The following is a 12,307-nucleotide window of genomic DNA, read 5'->3' on the forward strand; positions in this document are numbered from 1 at the left end:
AGTTTAAAATCAATGCTCTACCCTCAGATGAATTCTTAGGTAAGTCATATTGCCTCTCTAAGCCACAGCACTTTTACCTTAAAATAGAGAAAATACCACCTACTTCACAGAGCTTGGTACAAATAGAAAGAGTAGTACTATACGTAAACAATCTGACACAGTTTCTCGGCCCATGGAGGTACTGAATACATATTATTTCACTGGCCCCTTTAATTCACTTCTGCAGGCAAATCTTGTTCAACTGCCCTCTCCCTGATTGTGGCTCCATTATTTGGGCCTGTTTTACAATTAACTGTTTGCTCTCTCTTCTGGATTCAAGGGGGCTTTATCCATCCTTACATCTGGTCAACGCTAGACCTACAGTAAATCCTTAGAGGGTGTTATGTCTTTCAAGAAACACATATAGAGCATTTTTCAAGTGCCAGACTATCAGTGTAAATGTCAGATTACTGGTTTTCACTTTTCTGATGTAGCCCAGCTTCACACTCTTAAACTGCTAGAATTAGAGGGGACTTTGGAGTAGCAGCTTTTTATTGTAACAAAAAGCCTGGCTACTGGGCCCAGCTTTCCCAGTAACTCAGTGTGTAAACTTGGCCTAGTTACTTAAATTCTATGCCTCAGTGTCCTCATCTGACAATAATACTTACTTCACGAGGTGCTGTGAATTTTAAATAAGAGAACGTATATAAGTATGTTTCATACACTGTGCTGAGAAAAATACATGTAGCCTCGTGTAGAATCAGTGAGAAATTTGCCTGCCTTTATTAGCTGTGACTGCCACAGATAGGAGACTAGGAAGTGATGGCAAGAGTAAAAAATTGTTTCAGTTCCTGATCTACCTCCGTTTATCTTACAGGTAAAAAAAAAAAAAAAAAATTGAGGCTCTGCAAAGACAAGTGATTTGTCCAAGCTCACACAGCAAGTCAGTTGGAGGGTCATGAATGGAACTTCTGTTACCTAATGGCTTCCAGGTTTGACGGGATTAAGGAAAACGAAAACCACAACAATTTTAGGGTGAATAAAGAAGCATCCTGGCTGGGCATGGTGGCTCATGCCTGTAATCCCAACACTTTGGGATGCCAAAATGGGAAAATCACTTGAGGCCAGGAGTTCAAAACCAGCCTGGGAAACATAGTGAGATTCCATTTCTACGAATTTTTTTTTTTTTTTTTTTTTTGAGGCAGAGTCTCACTCTGTCGCCCAGGCTGGAGGGCAGTGGCGCGATCTCAGCTCACTGCAAGCTCCGCCTCCCGGGTTCACGCCATTCTCCTGCCTCAGCCTCCCGAGTAGCTGGGACTACAGACACCCGCCACCATACCCGGCTAATTTTTTGTATTTTTACTAGAGATGGGGTTTCACCGTGTTAGCCAGGATGGTCTCGGTCTCCTGACCTTGTGATCCGCCTGCCTCGGCCTCCCAAAGTGCTGGGATTACAGGCGTGAGCCACCGCGCCCAGCCAAAAAAAGTTTAAATTAGTCGGATGTGGTGGTGTGCACCTGTAGTCCTCGGTACTTGGGAGGCTGAGGCTGGAAAATCACTTGAGTCCAGAGGTTCGAGGTTAGAGTGAGCTATGATTGCACCACTGTATCCCAACCTGGGTGACAGAGTGAGACCCTATCTCTAAAAATAAAAATTAAAAAAAAGAAGCATACCCAACATCCTGAGTGTCCTGCTACCGTACTGTACTTGCCATACCACACTGTTAACATCTGCTTATGCACACACAGCATGGCTTTCCCAGTAGGTGGTGTGAGAACGGGGAGAGGCAGAGAGCTGAGTTCAGTTGGAAGGCTCATTCAGATGGAAGCCCCCAAGGGGATCTTCTTAGGAGGGGGCGGCCAGGGGCTACTCAGACATTTGGAAGACAGGCAAAAAGCATCCCAGCAGGCAGCTGCCTGAGGCAGATCTAAGCAGACAGGTCATGCACAGTGGTGCATGCAGAATTGCATTTGTAAGATAAGCATCAATCAAATCTTTCCTCTATTTTGTGACAGTCACATAAAATGATAGAGCTATCTCCGTGACAAGCAATACAGATGAAGGCCCAGGGACCATCTGGGAAGTCGTCCCTGTCCCAGGCTGGGGGAAAGAAATGACTCCTCAAAGGGTGGCTGTGAAAAACAACCCTTTCAGTCTGATAGGCGGCAGAAATAAGCACCTAAGGAAGAAGCCAACTTCAGCCAGGAAAGAGCGGGGAGGAGGAGGAGAGAGCCCTAAAATCCAGCGAGAAGAGATCAGCTCAATAAATGGAGTGAAGAAGTGAATGAAGGAACTTACCTTTTGTTGCAAAGAACATGAGACTGAGTCCAAGAGACCTGGCATTTGAAAGATAAGCCCTGGCTCTTTCAGTGATCCTGTAAACTTAGGCAAATCACACCCCTGGCCTCAGTTTCCTTATCTATAAAAGGAGCTCATAAAATGGCTTCCTGGCAAAACTGTTGCAAGAATTAAAACCTGTATATGGGAGGGTGTTTTATTAACCCCTTATTTTGTTTGTTTGTTTGTCTCTGTGCTTCATGGTTTCTTCTAGCAAGTCATCCTGTGTAGTGGAAATAGTTTGGAGCTCCAAATCAAACAAACTAGATTCAGTTTCCAGGTCTATCATTTATTACCTATGAGACCTTGGCAAGAAATGTTACATGATTAAGACAGTTTCCTCATTCATAAAACAAGTGTTGTTGGGAAAATTATAGGTAATGTGGGTTATACATCTAGAATAGTACAGTAATTTCTTGGTATAGGCAAGGGATTGGCTCCAGGACCCCCATATATACCGAAATCCACGCCTACTCAAGAACCACAGTTGGCCCAGTGGAACCCACCTAGACTAAAAGTTGGTCCTCTGAATATACAGACTTCACCTCCCTTCACTACTGTATTTTCTTCTCTTTTTCTTCTTTTTTAAGAGATGGGTGTCACTCTGTTTCCCAGGATGGAGTACAGTGGCCTGATCATAACTCACTGTAGCTTCAGGTTCCTGGGCTCAAGCGATCCTCCTACCTCAGCCTCCCAAATAGCTGGGATTCCAGGTTTGAGCCACTGCGCTTGACCCACCATGGTATTTTTTTTAATCAGTGTTTGGTTGAAAAAAAAAATTCAGGTATAAGTGAACCTACACAGTTCAAACCCATGCTGTTCAAAGGTCAACTGTATATGCAATATAGCAGGGGCTCAATAATGTAATTCCCTGTCTTCCTACTTGGAGCATTTCAGTGAGAATAAGAAGGGAGTTGGGCAAATGTGGACCTCATCCTCCTTTAAGCCATACTCTACTTTTCTAATTCAATCTGTCTTTAGACCATTCCCCACTGCTGACCCATCACCACCTTCTCATTGTTTTCCCAGGTCTCCTAGAGCCACAGAAACAATATCACAATAGCTACCATTTATTGAGCACCTACTAAATGTCTAGCATTCTACAAGATGCTTTCAAAGCATTCCATCTTGCACCAACAGATGCTTGATATTCATTTCCTTCCTCCTCCAGATTGGAAAGAGATAGCCATGGGTGTGTCCACTGACAAAACAGGAACACCTGCAGAATAACATCAGTGGCCTCTCTCTTTGTACATTGTTTTACAGTTTACAAAGTTCTTTTCACCCACATTATCCTATTTGATTCTCACAACAATTCTTGGGAATGGATGAAGAAATTGAGGCAGGAGCACCAATTATTCATTCAATCAACATTCACCAAGCACCTACTATGCACCAGGACCTGTGCTATACTTTAGGGAGATGGAGAGAAACCCTAGGAGCTTCAAGCTTAGAGGGGAAATCTATTTAAATATTTTGTATAGGTTACTGATGCCTCCCTTCATGTCATAATCTTTAAGAAACTGAAGATCTATTTCTTGGACTGGAGATGCTTTTAGATTTTTGCCTTTTCCCATACGGTTTCCTCTGATAGGAACACACTTTCCTCCACTGCTAGCTAAATCCTTCATGACCAGGAAGGCTTCCCCAACCCACCCACCTCCCCCAAAATGCTTCTTCTCTGGCTCCCACAGGGCACCAGGGCTTTCCACTTCTATAGATAGGGCCTTTCACGGCTTCCATTGTCTTCCTCTGTTTATAGGCACAGAACAGGTGGACACCCACCTGTGCGCGCGCACACACACACACACACACACACACACACATCCTCTCCTTTTACTGTCTCCCACCCCTTTCCATCTGGATTCCAGGAAGCCGGGGGAAGAGGGCCCATCTTGTTTTGTGTGTGTGTGTGTGTGTGTGTGTGTGTGTGTGTGTGTGTGTGTGTGTTTTGAGGGCCCATCTTTCTCCCACCTCCTCCACATCTCTCTTAGCTTCCAAAGGCTGCTGCCCTGCCCTCCCCAAAGTTGCTTCCATGCTTGGACTACAGAACAGAGTTGGATGACTTTTTCTGTCCACGATTCTCTTATTTTCTGTGATCCCCGGTGCCCGTGTAACAAGGTCCAGTGCCTGGGTCCCCTCCTTGGACTCCTGAGTGGCCGAGACACCGCTAGTGCGTGGACACCACTCCAGCCCCCATTACCTTTCCACCCTTACACCACGACCCACACCTGGCCTCCTCCCCAGGCTGACCCAGCGCCCCACCACCCTATCTATACACTCCAAGTTCTCCCACGATTCCTCCACTTGCAGCCGCCAGACCCTACTCTATTCCAGAGCCTCCTCTCCACTCCTGACCAGAATGTAGGCCCCTGTGTCCATTTCCAAGGCCACTTCCCTGTGTCTCCACCGGCTCCCTGCCCCCTTCCTCTGCAGCAGGGTAGACCCAACCTGGCCTCTCACCCTTCCATTCTCCCAAGCTTCCCGCCCCCAAGCCCCACCCCTCGTCTTCCATCTACAGTTACCCCCACGCCGGTCCCCAGCCGGGCTCAACCTCCGACCCCAGCTATCCATACCCACATCCCCCATAAATGACCCTCTTTCGACCAGACACTGCCCTGCTGCCTTTCTCCTTCCCAGCTATCCATACCCACATCCCCACCCCCGACCCTCTCCCAACCAGACACTCCCCAGCTGCCCAGCGCCCCTTGCCCTCGGCACCTCAGTCCCCTCCAGCTCCAAACGACCCCCGCCCAGCCAGTCCCCTCCCCTCAGCTCCTCACCTCCATGCCTCCCCCCGCACCCCCGCTCTAGCTCCCCTCAGTCCGCTCCCTTCACCGCCCCCTTCGCTGCCCCTCGGCTGCCCGGTACCACCTTTCCGCACAGCCCCACTCCGCCCTCCTCGCAGCTCCCCCGCCCCCCACGCCCCCGTTTCCCCCAGCGATCCCTCACTGCCCTCCAGTTGCCCCCCATCTCTCCTCCCAGCCCCAGCGCCGTCTTTCTTGCTCCCCTCCCGCCCTTGGAGCTCCCCCGGCTGCCCCCAACGTCTGGGAGACCCCCTCGGCGCCCCCTCCCTAGGTGAGCCCCACCTCTGCCGCCGCGGAGCCCCCTCCCTCGCTCCTCCCCCGGCTTCCTTCCGCTGCCCCGCGCTCCTTCTCGGCGCCCGCTCTCGGTGCCCAGCGCCCCGCGCCGGGGATCGGTCCCTGATCCTCCGCGGGCGGGCTGCCGGGGCCGCGCCCCTTACCGCGGACTCCGAGTGCGGGACGACGGGTTCGCTCCCGGACGGTCGGCGGGACGGCAGGACCTGGCGTCGGGAGGGCGCGGAGGGGGCCGGGGCGGGGCGCTGCGGGATGGTCTGGTCCGGTCAGGTCCTCACAGTGGCGCCTGAGGGCTGAGGCTCCCGCTCCAGCACTGCTCCGCTCCGGCCGCATCCAGGCCCCGCCCAAGGGCGGAGTCTGTGTTCGCCCCGCCCCGGCCCTCAACTCCTAGCAGGTGTAATCCGAGGTGACTCAGGACCTCCAGGTCCCCCATGTCTGGGTGACTCTCGTGATTTATCTTAATTGTCATGCCTCGTTCCATTGACTGAACTTACTAGGGTAATTAGAGAGCTTTGATGATAATGTAGCTGATGATGGGTAGCAGTTTTGCCATTTCCAAACTGCTTTCTGGTCCGGTCCGTTCTATGGCTCCGTCTTCACAAAAGCCCAGAGAGGGAGGCTGACTACAAGCGGAAACCAAGCCAGAAACCTGGACGCTGTCCTCTACCCTATCTGTGTTTCCTTCACACCCCACATCCCACCGCCTTAACATATCCCTGCCCTTCCTCTGTGTCTCCATTGCCCTTGTTCTGACTCCAGCATCATCACTTCTTGCTTGGACTAATGCAACAGCTTCCTAATTCCTGCCTTCACTCTCCAATTCACCCTATAAAACCAGGACGTGGTGTCAGCATGGCCATTTCCACCCTTGTACAAAAATTCTTTCTCCTGTGGTCTCCAGTCATACCACCCTCCACCCCTCCTCATCACTGACACCCAATTGTTCCTTATGCATTAAAGATTGCAGCCCCTGGCCCATGGTCATCCTAACTAGCCCCTGTTCTGCCATACTCCTGGTGACTTCGGTAGCTGTGAGACTTCCTGGTCCCATTCATTCTGAGTCAGATACCAAAATCATTTTGACACAAGCCCGAGCAACCCTTTAAAAAATGTCACCATGTTACCATCAACCTTGTTTAAGAAAACTCTCGGCCAGGCACAGTGGCTGACGCCTGTAATCCCAGCACTTTGGAAGGCCAAAGTGGGCAGATCACTTGAGGTCAGGAGTTCGAGACCAACCTGGCCAACATGGTGAAACCCTGTCTCTACTAAAAATACAAAAATTAGCCGGGCATGGTGGTGCATGCCTGTAGTCCCAGCTACTTGGGAGGCTGAGGCAGAATTGCTTGCACCCAGGAGGCAGAGGTTGCAGTGAGCCGAGATCACTGCACTCCAGCAGTGCACTCCAGCCTGGGCAACAAAGCCAGACTCCATCAAAAACCAAACAAACAAACAAACAAAAACCTCTCAATGGTTTCCCATTACCAGGAGGCTGTCAACAGGAGTAGAAAAATGTTCTTGCCTGGCCTGGCCCTAGGAAGTCCCACTTCCACTAGAGGAGGCAGATAGAGGAGGCAATAAATACCCCACCCTCAAATCCTGATATGGACTTCCAGTCTTCCTGAGGTCACAGGAGCCAGCTGAAGGCTTGCTCTAGAATCATTGTCTTTCCCCACACTTCTCCCCCATCTCAGATCTTAGAGGTCTGAGTCAAATACCAAAACCATTTTCCCCCCAAGTTCCATTATGACCCTGTCTACAGTGTACATCTCCAGCCTAGGAACCACCCAAGCTGACAGCTCCTCTGCTTGTCTGGCCTCTGCCTCAGACGCTTACTCTTCTGAGCTTCTTGCCCAGCCCTTTCACTCACACTGCCCATCACACTGGCAGCTCTTTCCTCTGTGCCTTCTAGAATCCTGTTCTTTTGTCAACAAACTCTGCTATACCCTCTGCTTCTTCAGAGTACTCAGGTGACTTCTTTGCCTGAGCCTCCTCCAGGTACTGCCTCCTTTGCTGCCCTCTGCTAGAAGGCTTCTCATTTTTCCACTCCCCATATACTATAAAACTAGGATGTGGGGATGGCATGGCCATTTCCACCCTTGTGCAAAAATTCTTTCTTCTGTGCTCTCCAGCCATACCCCCCTCAACCCCTCCTCATCACTGACCCCCCAATTGCTCCTTATGCATTACAGATTGCAGCCCCTGGCTCATGGTCATCCTCACTAGCCCCTGTCCTGCCATCCTCCTGGTGACTTCAGTAGCTATGAGATTTCCTGGTCCCTCAGTCCTTGTCCTCCACATCACCTTGGCCACCAGCTCCCATGGTCACTCTTGAGCTCTTAATCACCCACTGCTGGTACCTCTGTAATAGCAAAATCAAACATGCTACGCTGAACTGCTCCCTCACTCTCTTTCTCTCACAAGGCCCTACTTCCCTCATTTCAAAATAGACGAGATGATAATGATTATTCTTTCTTCCTAGGAATAATGAGACAGCATATAGAGCCATCCTTTTAAAGTTGTGAGACAATATGAGAACAGATGGTATTGCTTTTATGTAGCCTCAGTTCTTCTGGTTGCTTTCTCCTTCTCCCTCCTCTGAAAGGCGGTATAGTAAATTAGAAAGGGCACACACAGGCTTGGGGCCAGGCAGACCTGGTCTTCAGTCCTTGCTTGCTGTGTGATCTTATGCCAATTACCTAATTTCTCTCGCACGCACACCCCTTCCTTATTTGTAGAAAGAGCAATAATAAGAGCTGCTTCTCAGAGTTGTTGGGAAGATCAAATGAGAACACAAGCTACTGGAGAGGACTTGATAGAGTGGTAGGCATACAGTAAGCATTCAACAAATAGGAAACACTGTGCTTCGTATAACAGAAAAAAAAAAGTGCTATTTTTAAACCACAACTGCCTTCCAGGAATGACAGATCCCAATGCACAGAAAGTCCTTTTGTCCTGCTTGGGGCCTCAATTGATGAGAGTGAATACGTAACTTTGGGAGAAGAAATTGCTCTCTATGTTTAAAAAGGGAGTAGGGGTAGGTGGGGCATGATGGCCCACGTCTGCAATCCCAGCACTTTGGGACCACCTGAGGCCAGGAGTTCGAGACCAGCCTGGCCAACATGGTAAAACTCTGTCTCCACTAAAAATACAAAAATTAGCCGGGCGTGGTGGTGGGCGCCTGTACTCCCACCTACTCGGGAGGCTGAGGCGGGAGAATCACTTGAACCTGGGAGGCGGAGGTTGCAGTGAGCCGAGATTGTGCTACTGCACTCCAGCATGGGCAACAGAGTGAGACTCCATCTAAACAAAATTAGGGGTAGCAGGAGGCAGAGGTTGCGATGAGCCGAGATTGCGCCGTTGCACTCCAGCCTGGGAAACAAGAGTGAAACTCCATCTCAAAAAAAAAAAAAAAAAAAAGGTGGGGGTGGGAGGGTTGGGGGAAGGCAAATTTGGAATTCACTTGACAAAATGGGAGGGCAAGTTAATAGAGATCGGAGGGGAAAAGGAAAAAGATGAGTAAGAAAATCAATGTAAGGATAGGTGCTACATAGGTAAAGAGTCAGAAGAAACTCTCCCATGGTAGTTGACAAGAGTGTTTCAGCAGTGGGATACCTAAAATGGGATAAGTTGTTTGTTACACTAGGACGTGACCATCCTATGTGACTCTCAAGACTTCAGGAAGGGCTATTACACCCAGGAACGCTTTTTGAGAGAGGGGAATTGTGAGAGTACATGAGTAGGGAGTTGAGCAATGTGCTTTGTTAGGTCTCAGTTGAAAAAGGAGACTGGAAGCAGAGGTAACTGTGAGACCACAAGCCCTTGTGGAACTTGCAAAAACTTGTGTAGGACTTTGCACTTACATGAGTTGGGAAATGTGAATATTGAGGTTCAAGCCCATTGCATTTGGATCTTGAAGAGGCAGAGAGGCAGCCAGACAGCGGCTCACACCTGTAATCCCAGCACTTTGGGAGGCCAAGGTCGGCAGATCACCTGAGGTGAGGAGTTCAAGACCAGCCTGGCCAACATTGTGAAACCCCATCTCTACTAAAAATACAAAAAAATTAGCCAGCATGGTGGCAGGTGACTGTAATCCCAGCTACTTGGGAGGCTGAGGCAGGAGAATCGCTTGAACCCGGGAGGCGGAGGTTGCAGTGAACCAAGATCGCACCACTGCACTCTTGCCTGGGTGACAGAGTCAGACTTGGTCTCAAATAAAAAAAAAAAAAAGCCGGGGGCGGTGGCTCATGCCTGTAATCCCAGCACTTTGGGAGGCCGAGGCGGGCGGATCACGAAGTCAGGAGATCAAGACCATCCTGGCTAACGTGGTGAAACCCTGTCTCTACTAAAAACACAAAAAATTAGCCGGGCGTCGTGGTGGGCGCCTTTAGTCCCAGGTACTCGGGAGGCTGAGGCAGGAGAATGGCGTGAACCCTGGAGGCGGAGCTTGCAGTGAGTTGAGATCGCGCCACTGCACTCCAGCCTCGGCGACAGAGCGAGACTCCATCTCAAAAAAAAAAAAAAAAAAAAAGGAGGCAGAGAGGCCACATCTGACATTTGGGTTGCATCATTTATGCCCTCATAAGCTACCTTCTTATTGACTAAGGTAACCACCTGAGGGAAGAACAACACAAATCAAATTATACTGGACTGTCTTCACTTCCAGATCCAAATGCCCAAGGAAGAATGGGAAGGAAAACAAAATTCTTTTTTTTTTTTTTTTGAGATAGAGTTTTGCTCTTGTTGCCCAGGCTGGAGTGCAATGGCGTGATCTTGGCTCACTGCAACCTACGCCTCCCGGGTTCAAATGATTTGGCTGCCTCAGCCTCCTGAGTTGCTGGGATTACAGGCATGTACCACCACGCCCAGCTAATTTTGTATTTTTAGTAGAGACGGGGTTTCTCCATGTTGGTCAGGCTGGTCTCAAACTCCTGACCTCAGGTGATCTGCCCCGCCTCAGCCTCCCAAAGTGCTGGAATTACAGGCATGAGCCACTGAACCTGGCCCCTGAATGAAGACAAAATTCTACCTTTTGTCTTGGCTCAGATTAGTTAACAATTATATTCATTGAATCTTTAAATTACACTAAGATTATTCACATCTTTTATCTCATTTAATCCTCAATATAATTATGCAAGTTATAGATTATCATCCCTTTTTTATAGACAAGGAAAGAGAATTGAGAAAGTTTAAGTGACTTGCCCAAGGTCATACAACTGGTAAGTGGCAGAGCCAGATAGCAGGTCTGTCTGACTCCAAGGACAGGGCGTTTTCTATTAGACTCTAAAATTATATTTTGATTGCCCAGTGAACATCATTGTGATTAAGAGTCCTGCAAGGGCAAGATGGCACCTGCCTGTAGTCCCAGCTACTCGGGAGGCTGAGGCAGGTGGATGATTTCAGCTCAGGAGTTCTGGGCTGTTATGTGTGTTATGCAGAACAGGTGTTCTCACTAAGTTCAGCATCAATATGGTGAATTCCCAGGAGTGTGGGGCTACCAGGTTGCCCAAGGAGGAGTGAACCAGCCAAGGTCAGAAACAGCAGGCCAGAACTTCTGTGCTGATCAGTAGTGGGATCATGCCTGTGAATAACCACTGTACTCCAGCTGGGGCAACATGGAGAGACCCTGTCTCTATATTTAAAAAATAAATAAATAGGCCAGGCACGGTAGCTCATGCCTGTAATCCCAGCACTTTGGGAGGCCGAGGCGGGCAGATCACCTGAGGTCAGGAGTTCGAGACCAGCCTGGCCAACATAGTGAAACCCCATCTCTACTAAAAATACAAAAAATTAGCTGGGCATGGTAGTGCACGCCTGTAGTCCCAGCTACTCGGGAGGCTGAAGCAAGAGAATCATTTGAACCTGGGAGGCAGAGATTGCAGTGAGCCAAGAGCATGCCACTGCATACCAGCCTGGGTGACAGAGAGAGACCCTGTCTCAAAAATAAATAAATAAATAAATAATAGAGTCCTACAACAAAATTTCCTTTTGTAGTTGCCAGAGTAATCAGCCTTCTCCAACTCCTAGTTTTATAAGAAGTATAGAATTGATGCTCTTTTGTTGTTGTTATTAGGGTTGGGGGGGGGGGCGGTCTTCCTATATTGCCCAGTCTGATCTTGAACTCCTGGTCTCAAGCAATCCTCCCACCTCAGCCTTCCAAGAAGCTAAGATCGCAGGTGTCAGCTTTTTATTGAATGATAATCAGTGGCTTAGAAAATGGCACAAGCGGATGTCGTTTGGAATGTTCAAATTTTCACAAGGTGAATATTTACCCTAGTGTGAGTCCCTCATGGCCAGCTTAGGAACTCAGATGTGTTGACAGGTCAGACATTTCCATCCAACCCATTCAATAGATTGCTCCATGCAATAGGGTAGCTGAAGCAGGTACCTGTGAAACAGCTGAGAAATGTAGGATTCAATGAGAGGAGTGATGGAAGATCGGGGAGGAAAGAGAAGAAGAGGCCAGATGGTCCAAGGCCTTGTACATCATATTAGGGATTTGGGAGCTTACCTTGCAAACAAAAAGATTTTAAGCAATGGAGTAACATGGTTACATATTCTTGTGAGAAAGATAGCTCTGCCTGTGGCAGGGGAATACAACAGATTGGATGGGAAGGATAGGGAGCAGAGAGATAGGAGACAGAGAAAACAATAGAGATTGCTGTAATAATCTAGATAAGAGATGACTAGGACCTGAGCTAATGTCATAGCAATGGGAAAGGTAGAAAGCAGAGGGATTTGATATATATTTAGGAGGTAAAGTTCCCTGGACTTGGTGACAGATTAAATGTGAGATATAAAGAAAAGGGCACCAGCCTAAACAACCAGGTAGATAATAAAACCATTTACTGAAACAGGAAGCAAAGAAGTTGTTTCTGTTATCTATTGCTGCA

At 48.7% G+C, this 12,307-nt stretch overlaps 1 protein-coding gene and 1 pseudogene across 1 annotated transcript in view, besides 1 other annotated feature; one reads left to right on the forward strand and one right to left on the reverse strand.

Moving 5' to 3' along the window:
• RAB3B (RAB3B, member RAS oncogene family) overlaps positions 1-5,709 on the reverse strand; it is an 82,745-nt gene extending 77,036 nt beyond the window's left edge. Inside the window, exon 1 of the mRNA NM_002867.4 lies at positions 5,561-5,709. The gene's annotated coding sequence lies outside the window, so the exon portion shown is untranslated. The remainder of the gene's footprint in view (positions 1-5,560) is intronic.
• Positions 5,623-5,732: a silencer, noted in NCBI's record as "silent region_883". NCBI's record gives its function as "represses an Ori minimal core promoter by ATAC-STARR-seq in GM12878 lymphoblastoid cells {active_cell/tissue: GM12878}" and the evidence as "EXISTENCE:reporter gene assay evidence [ECO:0000049][PMID:35858748]".
• On the forward strand, positions 10,753-11,048 carry RN7SL290P (RNA, 7SL, cytoplasmic 290, pseudogene; annotated as a pseudogene).

The sequence above is a fragment of the Homo sapiens genome, chromosome 1, assembly GCF_000001405.40.
Source record: "Homo sapiens chromosome 1, GRCh38.p14 Primary Assembly".
Taxonomy (NCBI): Eukaryota; Metazoa; Chordata; class Mammalia; order Primates; family Hominidae; genus Homo; species Homo sapiens.